The sequence below is a fragment of the Homo sapiens genome, chromosome 10 (genome assembly GCF_000001405.40).
Source record: "Homo sapiens chromosome 10, GRCh38.p14 Primary Assembly".
Taxonomy (NCBI): Eukaryota; Metazoa; Chordata; class Mammalia; order Primates; family Hominidae; genus Homo; species Homo sapiens.
Genome location: NC_000010.11, coordinates 67,809,866 through 67,827,921, shown reverse-complemented (window position 1 = coordinate 67,827,921; position 18,056 = coordinate 67,809,866). Strand labels below are relative to the sequence as shown.

General features: G+C 40.5%; 1 protein-coding gene and 1 pseudogene across 2 annotated transcripts in view, besides 1 other annotated feature; both read left to right on the top strand.

Moving 5' to 3' along the window:
• The window catches only part of DNAJC12 (DnaJ heat shock protein family (Hsp40) member C12), a 41,520-nt gene that overhangs the window by 10,267 nt on the left and 13,197 nt on the right, over positions 1-18,056 (top strand). Inside the window, exons 2-3 of one of the 2 annotated variants that reach the window (NM_021800.3) lie at positions 4,530-4,608; positions 16,259-16,398. In NM_021800.3, coding sequence (NP_068572.1) covers positions 4,530-4,608; positions 16,259-16,398 — 219 coding nt within the window. Of the gene's footprint in view, positions 1-4,529; positions 4,609-16,258; positions 16,715-18,056 lie in introns of those variants that run through there. The other variant, NM_201262.2, reaches the window with a different exon arrangement.
• Positions 2,328-2,612, top strand: RN7SL394P (RNA, 7SL, cytoplasmic 394, pseudogene; annotated as a pseudogene).
• Positions 8,536-9,037: an enhancer, noted in NCBI's record as "H3K27ac hESC enhancer chr10:69578643-69579144 (GRCh37/hg19 assembly coordinates)". NCBI's record gives its function as "activates a minimal SCP1, AML or CMV promoter by ChIP-STARR-seq in primed H9 embryonic stem cells {active_cell/tissue: H9 hESC(primed)}" and the evidence as "EXISTENCE:reporter gene assay evidence [ECO:0000049][PMID:30033119]".

Sequence of the window (18,056 nt, the reverse complement as noted above, 5' to 3'; positions counted from 1 at the left end):
CAGTTTACATAGAGCCAGCTCTATGGAAGCTTTGTAATAAACTTCATGATAGTAAAGCTATGAAAAATAATGAAAGAAAGATATAGACTTTCTTAATTTTTAAAATGTGAAATTGGTAAAACCTAGAAAATATAAAGAAGAAAATAACAGTCACGCATGTAAACAAACTGAGAATCAACCATTTTGACACATTTGCTTCCATGTACTAAATACCAGTACATTTTTTTTTTTTTTTGAGATGGAGTTTCACTCTTGTTGTCTAGGCTGGAGTGCAATGGCGTGATCTCGGCTCACTGCAACCTCTGCCTCCTGGGTTCAAGCATTCTCCAGCCTCAGCCTCCTGAGTAGCTGAGATTACAGGCGCCCATGACCACACCTGGGTAATTTTTGTATTTTAGTGGAGACGGAGTTTCACCATGTTGATCAGGCTGGTCTCTTAACTCCTGACCTCAGATAATCCACCTACCTTGGCCTCCCAAAGTGCTGGGATTACAGGCGTGAGCCACTGTGCTCAGCCCAGATTTTTTTTTTTTTTGAGACAGAGCCCTGCTCTGCCACCCAGGCTAGAGTGCAGTGTCAAAATCTTGGCTCACTGCAACCTCCACCTCCTGGGCTCAAGGGATTCTCCTGCCTCAGCCTCCTGAGTAACTGGGATTACAGGCTCGTGCCATCATGCCCACCTAATTTTTGTATTTTTAGTAGAGACAGGGTTTCACCATGTTGGCCAGGCTGGTCTCGAACTCCTGACCTCAAGTGATCCACCCACCTCAGCCTCCCAAAGTGCAGGGATTACAGGCGTGAGCCACCGCACCCAGCCCAGAATGTTTTCTAGTGGGATAGGAATTAAAAATAAAACAACAGCAACGATAAACCCCCAAAACTTTCTACCTTTGATATATAGGTATAATTTTATCTATTTAAAAGCCCTAAGAGATATATATATAATATATCATGATATATATAAATCATGATATATATTATATATATCATGATATATATATTATATATCATATATAATGACATATAATAGATATCATTAGACATATATAATAGATATAATAGATATAATATATATCATTAGATATCTTATATATGATATATATTATATATATCATTATATATCTGATATCTAATGATATATATTATATATCATTAGATATCAGATATATAATGATATATATTATATATATCATTAGATATCTTATATATAGTGATATATATAATATATATCATTAGATATCTTATATATAATGATATATATAATATATATCATTAGATATCTTATATATAATGATATATATAATATATATCATTAGATATCTTATATATATCATTAGATGATATATATTATATATATTATTAGATATCTTATATATAATGATGTATATAAGATATATATGTGAGATATATATGATATATATGCATATATATAAGCATCTTATATATATATATATGCATATATATATATGCATTAAAAGTGCATCTTTAGGCCAGGCATGGTGACTCATGCCCGTAAGCTCAGCACTTTGGGAGGCCAAGGCAGGCGGATTGCTTGGGCCCAGGAGTTCAAGACCAGCCTGGACAAGATGGCAAAACCCCATCTCTATAAAACATGCAAAATTAGCTGGGTGTGGTTGCCTGTGTCTGTAGTCCTAGCTTTTTGGGAGGCTGACATGGGAGGATTGCTTGAGCCCAGGAGGTGCAGGTTGCAGTGAACCGAGATGGCACCACTGCACTCCAGCCTGGGTGACAGAGCAAGAAGCTGACTCAAAAAAAAAAAGAAAAAAAAAGATATGTCTTCAAGGATATAATCTGTTCTCTTGGGTATATTCCTTGGATGAGGAATAAAAGGATTTTGACTTTTTTACTTTTTTTCTGTAGTGATAGAACGTTTTTCAAAGAGAGTTTGTATTTATAAATGACTTACTAATTTAAAAATGCTTACTACTACACTGTATAGAATATTTAATACTTTAAAATTTAAAAACAAGTCTAGTTCTCAGTTTTATTTGTTATATAAGTAGGTTATGGTGACTGATGGTTAAAGACAGCACCCAGGAAGAGGAAACACATAGTTAATTACAGTTCCTAACAGGAAGTCATCTTTTCCTATTATTCGAAGGTGTTCTCAGAAGTTTAACAAAGAAAATAATAGAGTTATTAGTCTGGGTTTTATACATATGCGTATCTAATACCGTCTGACTTTGATTGTAAAAGTGAAGACATTCCTTATGAGAGTTGACTAAGGATGACACGGAACTGATAATTAGTGGTTAGTAAATATGGAACCCCATGAGAATTTCCTAAGCCTGATGAATTTGGCCATAGGGCGTGGTGACACATGTCTGTAATCTCAGCTCCTTGGGAGGCTGAAGCAAGGGGATTGCTTGAGCCCAAGGGTTCTGGGCTGTAGTGCTGTGCCAACGGGGTGTCCACACTAAGTTCAGCATCAATATGGCCGGGAGTGGGAGACCACCAGGTTGCCTAAGGAGGGGTGAACCTGCCCAGGTTGGAAATGGAGCAGGTCAAAACACCTGTGTTGATCAGTAGTGGGATCGTGCCTGTGGCTAGCCACTGCACTTCAGCCTGGGCAACATAGCAAGACTGTCTCTGAAAGAAAAGAAAAAGAAAAACAAAGTTTGACTGCTAACTTAACAAAAAACTCAGCTCTTTTTAGTAACTAGCTGAATGACTTTGGATAGGTTACTTAACCACTTATATTTAATAATAGCCACTATTATTGAGTTCTTATTATGATCAGGTTTTGTGTTAAGTGCGCTACTTATATTATTCATCTGATGTAAAGATGAGTAAACCTAGACACATGGATGTTATGTAATTTGCCTAAAGCCTTGTAGCAGAACTGGGATTTCAAACCAAGCCGTCTTCCCAGGTACGGTGGCTCACGCCTATAATTCCAGCACTTTGGGAGGCTGAGGCGGGTGGATCACCTGAGGTTAGGAGTTTGAGACCAGCCTGGCCAACATGGTGAAACCCCCATCTCTACTAAAAATACAAAAATTAGCCAGGCGTGGTGGTGGGCACCTGTAATCCCAGCTACTTGGGAGGCTGAGGCAGGAGAATCACTTGAAGCCAGGAGGTGGAGGTTGCAGTGAGCGGAGATCACGCCACTGCACTCCAGACTGGGTGACAGAGTGAGACTCTGTCTCAAAAATAAAAATAAATAAATAAATAAATAAAATAAAATAAAACCAAGCAGTCAGATTCTAGAGCCACATAACCACTATTGTTTCCTGCTGCTGTAATTGCAATTACAATTAATAAAGCCAAGTCTTAATAATTCATGATAATAGGAATTAGATGGGTAAGTGAAATCAAATCAAATCATTGATGCCTCTCACATCTCATTTTAGTTTGGGCTGGAGTTTCTGTTTTCCCAGTCAAAATCTCTAATGAAGCTCCTAATTGGTAACAAAATTATCAGGTTTGAATTATGTTCTTTTTCATTTAATTTTGAAATTCTTAATATAAAAGAAAAAGACCAAAAGACAGGAAGAAGGAGCTTTATAATAGATAATTTATAAATTATAACTTATAATTCAGAGACAGTTATCCTTGAGTAATGGTGGCTAAGCATCTTTGAAGAATTTGGATATTTTATATATTACTAGGAGAAACCTACCTGATCATTTTGGGTATTTAAATATTTTTTTTTTTTTTTTTTTAAGACAGACTCTTGCTCTGTCACCCAGGCTGGAGTGCAGTGGTGTGATCTTGGCTCACTGCAACCTCTGCCTCCCAGGTTCAAGCGATTCTCCTGCCTCAGCCTCCTGAGTAGCTGGGATTACAGGTGCCTGCCACCATGTCTGGCTAATTTTTGTATTTTTAGTAGAGACGGGGTTTCACCGTGTTGGCTAGGCTGGCCTCGAACTCCTAACCTTGTGATCTGCCCACCTCAGCCTCCCAAAGTGCAAGGATTACAGGCGTGAGCCACCACGTCTGGACTGGATATTTAAATATTTTGAGCTCATAGGTATCTTGGGCCATCATTTAAATTAAGTAGTTAAATTGTCATCACAACGACTATTTCAATAGGAGCGTTTATTGGATGCTTTCTGAATTTTATTATTTCTTAGAGGAAAAAGTCAAAATAGAAATATAAGGATCAAAAAAAGTTGGGTTGATCATGGCTGTTTTGGGTTGGGGATTGATGCCCCAACTTCTTCCTTCATGCCATTTAAGTTTGACCTTTTTTTTTTTGAGATAAGATCTTGCTGTGTTACCCAGGCAGGAGTGCAGCGGTGCCATCATAGCTTACTACAGCCTTGAACTCCTGGGCTTAAGGGGTCCTTCTGCCTCAGCCTTCCAAGTAACTGGGACTACTAACATGTGTCACCATGCCCAGCTAATTATTTTATATTTTGTAGAGACTGGGTCTTGCTTTGTTGTCCAGGCTGGTCTTATTCCTGGTGATCCGCTTGCCTCAGCCTCCCAAAGTGTTGAGATTATAGGCGTGAGTCACTGCGCCTGGCATGACTCTTTATTTTAAACACTGATTTTTGTTTCAGGTTGAACAAATCCTGGCAGAATTTAAAGTCAGAGCTCTGGAATGTCACCCAGACAAGCATCCTGAAAACCCCAAAGCTGGTAAGAACTTAATAAAGGCTACTTCTCAAGAAAATGAGTAGTATATAGAACCAAAAGCCAGTGAATAGTAACTTAATTTTCTCAATTTTCTCTTGTCTATTATGCTCAACCGTATTCTTTCTTTGCACTATTGGATGATAGAAAGGGAGAGGGCTGTGCAGGATCTTTTCTAATAGTAGTCGTTTAAGATCTATTTTTCTTTCTGCTGTACTGTGTTGCTTTGTGGTTTAAAATTCTTCTAGTTCATGCTTTATTTCACCAGCTATTGAGTGTTAACATAACTTAAGTATATTTGTAACCAGGTGGTTGTCTTTTTTTTTTTTGAGACAGAGTCTCTGTCGCCCAGGCTGGAGTGCAGTGGTGCGATCATGTCTCACTGCAACCTCTGGCTCCTGGGCTCAAGTGATTCTCCTGCCTCAGCCTCCTGAGTAGCTGGGACTACAGGCGTGCACCACCATGCCCAGCTAATTTTTTTTTTTTGTATTTTTTTAGTAGGCAGGGTTTCACTATGTTGGGCAGGCCGGTTTCGAACTCCTGACCTCCAAGTGATCCCCCACCTCGGCCTCCCAGTGCTGGGATTATAGGCGTGTGCCCGGCTAGGCGGTTGTCTTCATGAGAAACTTGTTGTGATTTCTTCATTACTGGGGACCTGAATATATCCATATATTCATACTTTTGTTTCTTTCCTTCACTATCACTTAAGCATGCTTATACCTATCCAAGCTTGGGAAAAATATGAACAAACCAATAATCCCTCTGCAACCTGTCTCTCTTCTCTACTTTCCTGCCTCTCTTCTTCTCTTCAGACCCAGACTTCCCGAAAAGGAAGTCCACAGTTGATGTCTCTATTTCCCTTCTCGCTATTTTTCCATTTGTTCCACTCTGACTTCCCTAGTTTCTCAGAAATAGACCAAGGACTGCCTGAGTATCAAATCTAGTGGTTACCTTTTGGTACTTATCTCCCCTGAACTTGCATCACAATTTGGCCCTGTTGACCATACCTTCCTCCTTGAAACAAAGTTTTTTTCTTTTAGCTGTCAGGATACTATGCACTCATGGTTCTCCTCCAGCCTCTTTGGGCTGCTTTCTCTCAGTCTCCTTTGTGACTCTTCTGTTGCCCCAAGGTTCCCTCCTAAGCTCTCTTCTGAGCCCACTCCCCATTTTCTCCTGAAGCCTTGTCCAGGTCTGTAGCTTAAATCACCAGCTCTTTTGATGGCTCCCAAATCTATCCTTAACCTAGTTCTCACTCCCCATCTTAAGACTGTGGTTTTGACTGCTTCTGGGAAATTTCCATTTGGAAACATTTCAAAGTCACCCTGTCAAAAATTAGACTCATTATTTTCCTATCACCTCCTCTGAAATCTCGCTTATTTTTCTGTGTTCTCCCATCTCTATGAAGGACACCACCATCCATTCAGTTGGTGTCATGGAAGCCTTGTCTCCTTCCTCTCCCTCATGTCCATATCTGGGAAATTGCCAAACACTGTTGATTTACCTTTCTCATCTCTCTCTACTGTGTCCTCCTCGCTTCATGCTGGGTGCCATTGCTGTAGGTAAGCCCCCATCATTTCATGCTTGGATTGCTACAGCATTCTTTAAGTGCTTCTCATTGCAGATTTTTCTTTTTAATTATGGAAAAAAATAATATGTACAAAAAGGAATAAAAAATACTCTAACAGATGCCCACATATGTTCCGCCCAGCTTAAAACTTTACCAGTGCAATTGAAATCTCTTGTGTTTTCCTACTCTGATTTTATCCTCAGGGTAGATAATATTATATCTTAATGTTTTTTTTTGAGACAGAGTTTTGCTCTTATTGCCCAGGCTGGAGTGCAATGGCACGATATTGGCTCACTGCAACCTCTGCCTCCTGGGTTCAAGCGATTCTCCTGCCTCAGCCTCCCGAGTAGCTGGGATTATAGGCATGTGCCACCATGCCCAGTTAATTTTGTATTTTTAGTAGAGACAGGGTTTCTCCATGTTGGTCAGGCTGGTCTCAAACTCCCGTCCTCAGGTGATCTGCCCGCCTTGGCCTCCCAAAGTGCTGGGATTACAGGTGTTAGTCACTGTGCCTGGCCTTATATCTTAAATTTGATAGTTATGTTTACTATATGCGTATAGCATGTGTGTATAAGTGCTTTTTCTATAAGGATAATATCATACTAAGACCTATCTATAATTCCATATTGCACAAATCCAAACTCTTCTTTATTTAGAAAATGTTTTCCTTGGCTGGGTGCAGTGGCTCACACCTGTAATTCCAGCACTTTGGGAGGCCAAGGTGGGTGGACCACCTGAGGTCGGGAGTTCGAGACCAGCCTGACCAACATGGAGAAACTGTGTCTCTACTAAAAATACAAAGTGAGCCGGGCCTAGTGGCGCATGCGTGTAATCCCAGCTACTTGGGAGGCTGAGGCAGGAGAATTGCTTGAACCTAGGAGGCGGAGGTTGCGGTGAGCAGAGCTTGCGCCATTGCACTCTAGCCTGGGCAACAAGAGTGAAACTCCATCTCAAAAAAAAAAAAAAAAAAAAAAAGGAAAAAAGAAAATGTTTTCCTTGTCCCTTGTCTTAAGGTTCTTTATTAATTTTCTCTAGAAATCATTGATTCCTTTGATTTGCAAAAACAGATCATTTTTTCTATATGTGAGGTCATCTTTTGTTAGATATTTAACTATTGCTTCTGCTCATTTGATTTTTTTTCCCTTTTTATTAACTTGTTTAAGGTACTATGAGCAAATAATAAGTGTGAGCTTGATAAATTTGTGCATATGTATATCCAGGTCAACCACTGCCCAGAGAGATGTGGAGCATCTTCAGCACCCCAGAAATCCCTTTTCCCTTCCTGTTCAAAGTCAGCACCCTCTCTCATTTTTTGATCTCTATCACCATTGACTAGTTTTGCAGTTTTGGATTTCATATAAATAGAATCACACAGTATGTACTCTTTTGTGTGTAGCTTCTTTCGCTTTGCATTATGTCTGTGTTATACTGTGCAGTAGTTCATCCTTTGTCATTGTTGAGCCTTTAGGCACAAATTCCTTCATGCTGTGTACCTTAATTCTCCATCCCCTTTTGCTCTCCTTCACCATGCCTAGAATTTCATGTTTCAGCCACTCAGAATTACATTAGTTCATTCATGTGCTCTGCTCTTTCTACACTCCAGCCCTCTATGCTTGATGCTTTCTGCCTGAAACACTCCATGGTTCACACACATCCCTGACTACTTGGCCAGTTTGTGCTTCTGTGTCAGGTCTCAGCTGACCATCAGTTGGGAAGTCCCATGTGTCCCATCTAACAAGAGCACCCTGTACGTCAGGCAGTAGACTGTGTGTCACACTGTCTCCTTATTGCATGTTTGCTTATTAGTCATTCTGGAAGCTCAGTAAGGCAGACGCCCTGCTTGTCTTGTTCACAGTCGTATGCCCCTAGCATGGCACTTACTGAAGAGGACACCTATTCTGCACAATTTCTTGAATAAGTGAATGCATAAACATTCCTTCCTTCCTTCCTTCCTTCCTTCCTTCCTTCCTTCCCCTTCCTTCCTTCCTTCCTTCCTTCCTTCCTTCCTTCCTTCCTTCCTTCCTTCCTTCCTTGCTTCCTTCCTTCCTTCCTTCCTTTCTTTCTTTCTTTCTTTCTTTCTTTCTTTCTTTCTCTTTCTTTCTTTCTTTCTTTTTTTGTGACAGTCTCACTTTGTTGCCCAGGCTGGAGGGCCGTGGCATGATCTCGGCTCACTGCAACCTCTGCTTCCCAGGTTCAAACAATTCTCGTGCCTCAGCCTCCCGAGAAGCTGGGATTACAGGCGTGCGCCATCACACCTGGCTAATTTTTGTATTTTTGGTGCAAAAGGGGTTTCACCATGTTTGCCAGGCTGGTCTTGATCTCCCGACCTCAGGTGATTCGCCTGCCTCGGCCTCCCAAAGGGCTGGGATTACAGGCATGTGCCACCGAGCCTAGCCCGAACATTTCTTTTTCTTTTTTGAGACGGCTTCTCGCTCTGTCGCCCAGTCTGGAGTACAGTGGCGCTATCTCTTGGTTCACTGCAAGCTCCGCCTCCCGGGTTTACGCCATTCTCCTGCCTCAGCCTCCCGAGTAGCTGGGACTACAGGCGCCTGCCACCGCGCCCGGCTAATTTTTTGTATTTTTACTAGAGACGGGGTTTCACCTTGTTAGCTAGGGTGGTCTCAATCTCCTGACCTCGTGATCCGCCCGCCTCGGTCTCCCAGAGTCCTGGGATTACAGGCGTGAGCCACCGCTCCCGACCCCTGGCCCAAACATTTCTTTAGGATTCATATTAACTACCTGTCTGAACTGGAGTTAATATTAAGATAGGTGTCCTAGCATAAAATTATAAAAATTTAGATCGGGCTCGGTGGCTAATGCCTGTAATCCCAGCACTTTGGGAGGCCAAGGTGGGTGGTTCACCTGAGGTCAGGAACTTGAGACCAGCCTGACCAACATGGTGAAACTCTGTCTTTACTAAAAATACAAAATTAGCCGGGCGTGGTGGCACATGCCTGTAATCCCAGCTACTTGGGAGGCTGAGACAGGAGAATCGCATGAACCCGGGAGCAGATGTTGCAGTGAGCCGAGATCGCGCCACTGCACTCCAGCCTGGGTAGCAAGAGTGAAATTGTGTCTCAAAAAAAAAAAAATTATAAAAATTTGATAAACACTTAAAAACCACCACCACCCCAGGTTATTCTTTAACTGGGTTCTTTTCAGTGAAGCATGACTGTGAGTTGTTTCTCTGTCCCTGACAAACAATTTTTATTCAGGATACATGATGAATCACTGTGTAATTATTGCCATTTCTAGTTGCCATAGTGATGGGGGTTTTCATGTATGGGCTGCCTCAAGGCGTCTTGTTCAGAGAAACAGTGGACTGTGTAAATATTGTTTAAAATGAAAAGGTACACAGACATCAATATCTTCTCTAGGCAGGCATGCATTTGATATATGATTCAACCTTTGGGTAGAGGTTGTTTTTTAATCTATTTAAGCATCCGTTTACTCAGTTTTCATTAATACAACTTTCTGAACGTTTATGTGGATCTTTACACACTTGGATGATTAAGGTTACTGATGAAAATATTTCAAATATATATATGAGACAGGATCTCGCTCTGTCTCCCAGGCTGGAGTGCAGTGGTGCGATCTTGGTTCACTGCTGGCCTCAACCTCCCAGGCTCAAGCAGTTCTCCCACCTCAGCCTCCCAAGTAGCTGGGACCACACATGTGCGCCACCACACCTGAGTAATTTTTTTGTATTTTTAGTACAGACGGGGTTTTGCCATGTTGCCCAGGCTGGTCTCAAACTCCTGGACTCAAGTAGTCTGCCTTCCTTGGCCTCCCAAAGTGCTGGGATTACAGGGATAAGCTGCTGTGCCTGGCCAGACTATTTCAAAATCTCTTTTTTTATTTTTTATTTTTTTGGGGGGATGGAGTCTTGCTCTATCGCCCGAACTGGAGTGCAGTGGCACAATCTCAGCTCACTGCAACTTCTGTCTCCTGGGTTTAAGTGACTCTCTTGCCTCAGCCTCTTGAGTAGCCGGAGCTATAAGTGTGTGCCACCACGCCCAGCTGATTTTTTTTATTTTTAGTGGAAACGGGGTTTCACCATGTTGGCCAGGATGGTCTCAAACTCCTGACCTCAAGTGATCCACCTGCCTCGGCCTCCCAAAGTGCTGGGATTACAGGAGTGAGCTACTGCACCCAGCCTCAAAATATCTTTAAAAATTCACTTGGATACTGAAGTTTAGCTTGACAGAAATTCAGAATGTAATGGAAAGATTTTGAAATGTATCTAATTAAGGTGAAAAGCTAGACAGTAGAGGAACTTTGGGTAGGATAAATTAAACTTATATCTATACCTTTTTCGTCCACTAAATATAGTCTCAACTGTTGCCATTGAAATTACTGATGTGGTAGCATGATGGAGTAGTGGATATAAACACAGGCTTGTTTGTCTGGATTGCTCCCATTCCACTTACAGTCTAGTTGATCTTGGGCAATCTCTCCAAGCCTCAGCATTCTCGTAGGTAAAACAGGTAGACTAGTAGTATATTACTTCATGCATCTGCTGTGAAGATTAAATGAGGAGTCCTGCATGTGGAAAGTGCTTAATGGATGCTGGCAATTTTAATTCAGTGGATTGTCTTTCCTTGTTTTATGTAGCAGCCCAAGGTAAACATTTAACGTGATGGGATAGTTTTCTCTTTTTATAAGTAATGATTAGATCATTCTTTTATTCCCTGAAAAAAAAAAAAGTAAATCTAAGGCCACCAGAAATCCCTTCCCCTCTCCAGATGTGGGTGCTGCAGACAGGACTGACTTTGCTATAAAAATAGTGTCACTGAGCCCCAGAGCTCCTGGCTGGTGCTCATGCCAGCGCTCTGTGTGGGTGACAGTAACTGTTTCAGATTAGCACTATATTAACTTCTCCATGGCCATGAAGAAAGTAGACTTAAGGCCGGTGTGATGGCTCACACCTATAATCCCAGCACTTTGGGAGGCCAAGGTGGGCAGATCACATGAGGTCAGGAGTTTGAGACAAGCCTAGCCAACATGGTGAAACCTCGTCTCTACTAAAAGTACAAAAAATTAGCTGAGTGTGGTGGCGGGTGCCTGTAATCCCAGCTACTGTGGAGGCTGAGGCAGGAAAATCACTTGAACCCAGGAGGCGGTGGTTGCAGTGAGCTGAGGTTGTGTCACAGTGCTCCAGCCTGGGCTATAGAGAGAGACTCTGCCTCAAAAAAAAAAAAAAAAAAAAGAAAGTAAACTTCAGACTAAGAACCTGTGGAATGGTATTTTTGTTACTGATGTGCAAACTTCAAGGACATTTGGATATTAGAAGAAGGGGAGCAATTTGTCCTTTGTTAACTAACATCTTTTAATGTCTCAATTTTTTTTTTACTTTATAGTCTTTACTGTTTTTCCCCATATAATAAAAATAACATAATTAATAAATAATGTTGGAAGAAAAAGTTTGCTTTTATCTTTCCCTGATAGAGAACCACTATTAACAGTTGGTATATTTTCTTCCAGATTTTTTCAAAGCATATTTTGACATCATATTATTATTTCTTAAGTAATTGTAAATGGCATACATTTAAAATGTGACTGTTGTAATACAAATTCTATTGCAAAATATGAATTTAAAATAACCTCTATATTTTGAAGGTAGACCCAGGAGTTAAATCAGAATGTCTCGCAAGACTTCCAGCATCATTTGCTCCTATAAGCTTACAAAATGAGATCTCTCTTCCCAGAACTGGCAAGTGTTTACCTTGTGTGGCTCATTTGATTAGTTGCTACATTAATGGAAAAATATAAACCCAAACTCACTTTTGTTAAATGTGGTGAAGTGGATGGAACAAGAGAAAGGTCACATTATAGGAAAGATAAGGTTTCTTTTTTCTTTCTGCTTATCAACTGTTGTTGAGGGACTTACATCAGAATAATTCTAAGCAGCTTCTTTCATTCTGGGAATTCTAGAAAGCGAAGCCAACAATGATGTGAAAAGAGAAGGTGACTCACAGATAAATACATAAATCTTTACAAGCCCCACATGAGTAGCAACTGGCATGTGCATCCTTGGTGGTAATTTAATAAGCTTTTTATTCCTGTTGGAAAAAGTGACGTATCATTTATACAATGGGACATTTACATTGTCGTCAGCAACAGGAAGATTTGCTCTCGCTGGACCAAGCTGCTATGGCAAGATACTTTTATTTGTTCATTTGTTTTCCTGTAGCTTTCAATAGCCCCATCTTTTTTTTTCTTTTCTTTTTTTTTTTTTTTTTTTGAGACGAAGTATTGTTCTTGTTGCCCAGGCTGGAGCGCAATGGTGTGATCACGGCTCACCGAAACCTCCACCTCCTGGGTTCAAGCGATTCTCCTGCCTCAGCCTCCCAAGTAGCTGGGATTACAGGCATGCACCACCACGCCCAGCTAATTTTGAATTTTTAATAGAGATGGAGTTTCTCTATGTTGGTCAGGCTGGTCTTGAACTCCTGACCTCAGGTGATCCGCCCACCTTGGCCTCCCAAAGTGCTGGGATTACAGGTGTAAGCCACCGTGCCCAGCCTCATTTAGCATATTTTCAAGACTCATTCATGTTGTAGCACATATCAACATTTCATTCCTTTTTATGGCTGGATGATAATTCTTTTAGGTGGATATACCACATTTTGTTTATCAATTCACAGTTGATGGACATTTGTGTTATTTTCACTTTTGGCTATTATGAGTAATGCTGCTATCATATACAGGTTTTTGTGTGGACATATGTTTTCATTTCTCATGGATATATACCTAGGATTATAATAGTTGGGTCATATGGCAACTCTGCTTAATATTTTTGAAGAACAGCCAAACTACTTTTCAAAGTGACTATATACCACTTTACATTCCCACCTGTCATGTGTGACAGTTCCAATTTTTTCACATTCTAGACAATTATTATCCTTTAATTTTAGCCATCCTAGTAGGTATAAAGTGGTATCTCACTATGGTTTTGATTTGTATTTCCTGAAGGACTAATACTGTTCAGGATATTTTCAGGTGCTTGTTGGCTATTTGTATATCTTCTTTGGAGAAATGTTCATTCAAGCCCTTTGTCCATTTTGCATTTGGGTTATTTGTCTTATTATTGAGTTGTAAATGTTCTCTATAAATTCTAGATATAAGTACCTTATCAGATATATTATTTGCAGATATTTTTTCCCATTCCATGGTTTGTCATTTCACTTTCTTCATGGTATTCTTTGAGGCACAAAAGTTTTAATTTTGATGTAGTCCAATTTATCTATTTCTTCTTTTGTTGCTTGTGCTTTTGGTGTCATATCTAAGGAGCTCTTGCCTAAGCTGAGGTCACAAAGATTTATTCCTATGTTTTTTTTTTCCCAGTTTTTTATGGTTTTAACCCTTACATTTGGATCTGTGATCCATTTGAGTCAATATTTGTTTATAGCTTAAGGTAGAAATCTAAATTCATGCTTTTTATATATTGATATTTAGTTATCCTAGCACCATTTGTTGAAAAGACTATTTTTTTTCTTCATTAAATTGTCTTGGCACTCTTGTTGAAATCAATTGACTGTAAATGTAAGGGTTTGTTTCTGGATTCTCAATTCTATTCCATTTATAAGTATGTCTATCCTTATGTTAGTACCACACTGTTTTCACTACTGTAGCTTTGTAGTATAAGTTTTGAAATTCAGAAGTGTGAATTCTCCAACTTTGCTCTTATTTTTTTCAAGAGTTTTTTTTTTTTTTGGCAATTCTGGGTCCCTTGTATTTGCAAACAGATTTTAGGACTAGATTGTCAATTTCTGCAAAAAAGGCAACTGGGATTTTGATAGAGATTATGTTGAATCTGCAGATCAGTTTGGGGGGTATTATCATTTTAGCAATAGTAAATCTTTATGAACGTGGGATGTCTTTTCATTTATTTAGATCTTCTTTAGCTTCTTTTGACAATATTGTGTAGTTCCTTCTTTTGTTCAATTTTTTAAAAATATTATATTCTTCTTGAAGCTTTTTTTTTTTTCTTTTGAGACAGAGTCTTGCTCTGTCACCCAGGCAGGAGTGTAATGACATGGTCTCAGCTCACTGCAACCTCCGCCTCCCAGGTTCAAGTGATTCTCCTGCCTCAGCCTACTGAGTAGCTGGGATTACAGGCGCCTGCCACCACACCCAACTAATTTTTTTTTTTTTTTGTATTTTTAGTAGAGACGGGGTTTCACCATGTTGGCCAGACTGGTCTCGAACTCCTGACCTCGTGATCCGCCCACTTCGGACTCCCAAAGTGCTGGGATTACAGGCATGAGCCACTGGGTCCGGCTCTTGATGCTCTTATAAATGGAATTTTCTTAATTTCATTTTCAGATTGTTCATTGCTACTGTGTAGAGACACCACTGATATTTGTATATTGATTTTTTATTTTTTGGAGACGGAGTCTCGCTCTGTCATCTAGGCTGGAGTGCAGTGGTGTGATCTTGGCTCACTGCAACCTCTACCTCCCAGATTCATGAGATTCTTCTGCCTCAGCCTCCCAAATAGCTGGGATTACAGGCGCCCACCGCCATGCCTAGCTAATTGTCTTCTTGCTGTGTTTTCACATGGGGGAAACAGAGTGAGCGAGTTGTCTGGGTTTCTTTTATTAGGGCACTGATTCCATTCGTGAGGGTTCCACCCTCATGATCTAATCATATCTCAAAAGCCCCATCTCCTAATACTATCATTTTGGGAGTTAAGAATTCAACATATGAATTTTTGTTTGTTTGTTTTGAGATGGAGTCTTGCTCTGTCGGACAGGCTGGAGTGCAGTGGTGCAAACTCGGCTCACTGTAAGCTCTGCCTCACGGGTTCCAACGATTCTCCTGCCTCAGGCTCCTGAGTAGCTGGGATTACAGGCCTGGGCCACCGTGCCTGGCTACTTTTTTTTGTTTTTTTTTTTTGAGATGGAGTCTCGCTCTGTCGCCCAGGCTGGAGTCCAGTGGCACAATCTCGGCTCACTGCAACCTCTGCCTCCCAGGTTCAAGCAATTCTCTGCCTCAGCCCCCGAGTAGCTGGGAATACAGGCGCCTGCCACCACCCCCAGCTATTTTTTTTTTTTTTTTTGTATTTTTAGCAGAGATGGGGTTTCACCATCTTGGCCAGGCTGGGTCTTGAATTCCTGACCTCGTGATCCACCCACCTTGTCCTCCCGAAGTGCCGGGATTACAGGCCTGAGCCACTGCACCCGGCCTGTATATAAATCTTGTATTCTGCTCTGCAGAAAGTTTTTACTTCACTGAGGAGCAGAAGAGACTTTGGAGGTGTTTCTAACAGAGCCATAAAAGGTTTCTATTATATACCATCTGGTCAAGTAGATTAGTGACAAGCTACCATTTGTCCCAGCATCTACCATGTTATTTATTATACTTAAAGCCTCCCGTTTCTCTTACGACAAAAAGCAGGCCAGCATCCTTAACATGACATCTCAGGCCCTGGTTGATTGAGCTATTGTCTGTCTACTCTACAGCCCCATCCCTCATCGTTCTTTCCCTAGCCTTGTGTCCTCCAGCCACACTGGCAATTACTACTTCCTCTAAGTCACCGTGCTCCTTCCTGCTTTATAAGGACAAACAAGATCATGGATGTAAAGTGCTTGGGACAGTTTATCCACTCCCTGTATTGTGCCTCAGTCATGTCTTTATAGTCTTTATAGTCTTCAGTTTTATAGTCTTTATAGTCTTCAGTTTTACTGTCCCTCTTGCCTAATTACTGCCCTGTTTCACACCCAGCACTAAAAAAGGTAGTTTTCTTCCTATAAGGTGGAATAGTATTTTTTCAATGTTTACAAATGTTTCTTTCCCCTGCTAATAATGTCTATTATTCACATCTGTGTCATCAGCACCGGGAGTAGCCTCTGGCACATGACTGAGGCACAATACAGGGAGTGGATAAACTGTGCCGAGCACTTTACATCCATGATCTTGCTTGTCCTTATGATACCCTTTACAAAAGCTTAATGAGGTAAATTGGCCCAAGGTCACATAGCTATTAAGTGGCAGTCATGGTTTTAGTAAGAGCAGTTGGATAGTTTTGGAGTTTAAAATATCCTCTCCGAGAGAGAAGTGCTCATTTCTTGATTTGTTTTCCAGTGGAGACTTTTCAGAAACTGCAGAAGGCAAAGGAGATTCTGACCAATGAAGAGAGTCGAGCCCGCTATGACCACTGGCGAAGGAGCCAGATGTCGATGCCATTCCAGCAGTGGGAAGCTTTGAATGACTCAGTGAAGACGGTGGGTTTCTCGCTGGGTGCGACGTGAATTTGTGAAGCTCAGGATGCCCATGGATTAGACTCATGTAGTAGCTTAAAGAGTCATTAGGCGATAGGAGGGAGAAAACCAAGAAGTTAGCAGAGTCTGGATATAATTCAGTGTCCGTAAATCCCATGAAGAGAAGCTCATCAGAATAAAGGCAATGAATTTGTGCCAGAAGAGCCTGTGACTACATTTCTTTCAATCTCTTTGGCTGTTTGTTTCAGTATACACACTCCCTGTTATTGCTTACTATTTTATGAGCTCTAATAAATGTACTTCTCAAGTTGCTCATGAATTGCTGAGTTTTAACCATTGTAAATTCACATTCTCCATCTTTTTAGTTTATGTCAGCTTGCTCTCTTTTCAAGGCTTAGAATTTTCATTAAAAAGGCAGGATCTGATTAGTCAGAGAAAGCCATGAATTATTCCTATTAAACATTCTGGTGAAAGAATTGTTAGACTTTAAAAACATTGTGTTATCTTTCTTCATGTCATTAAAAGGCATAAATATCAAAATATTCACTATAATTACTGTCATATATTTATTTTGTTCAACATTGACCTTTATATATTATAGACAAAATGTAATTTTAAAGATTTAGGCATGATTTATTACCTAGATTCTCTCCATTGGAACACTTTTCTATGACATGGGACTTATAATACAGAAATTACCTCATAGGTAAGTTTTCAGGGACAGTTGTTAGAATTAGTGTATAAAATGATTCACATCTCTTAAATTATAGCCCTTCAGGGTTACATTTAGATTTCCTTCTTCATAGTTTTTATTTTAGAAGACTTGAGCAAATTGTTGATAAAAGACCTCGGCCTCCCAAAGTGCTGGGATTGCAGGCATGAGCCATCGCACCTGGCTAGATTGTTAAATCTCATAAATTCCCTTTCCTTCACACCATCAACCCTGTGTTTCTGCTTTTTGTTTAAATAGTATAATCCCTCTGGAACGGAAAAGCATTGTTTGGGAACATTATTAGTCCCTATACCCACAAGGCAGGACAAATCACGGTGTACTTTTGTAGCATCACACACAGGATCATATCTTGGGAATTTCCTTTGGGAGAATTCCTCAAACGAGCCACAGCCTCAGGGGTGCCACATTTTTTTAAATTAAAAACTTCAAAAAATTTTCAATAGCTTTTGGGGTACAAGTGTTGATATGGTTTGGATTTGTGTCCTGCCCAAATCTCATGTTGAATTGGATGAGGGTCCTGATGGGAGGTGATTGGATCATGGGGGCAGATTTCCCCCTTGCTTTTCTCATGATAGTGAGTTCTCATGAGATCTGATGGTTTAAAAGTATGTGGCAGTTCTACCTTCTCTCTCTTTCCTGCCACCATGAGAAGAAGGCCCTTTCTTCCCCTTCACCTTCCGCCATGATTGTAAGTTTCCTGAGGCCTCCCAGTCATGCTTTCTGTTAAGCCTGAGGAACTGTGAGTCAATTAAACCTCTTTTCGTCATAAATTACTGAGTCTCAGGTAGTTCTTTACAGCAGTGTGAAATGGACTAATACAAGTGGTTTTTAGACACATGGATGAATTGTATGGTGGTGAAGTCTGAAATTTTAGCGCACCCATCACCTGAGTAGTATACATTGTACCCATTATGTAGTTTTTTATCCT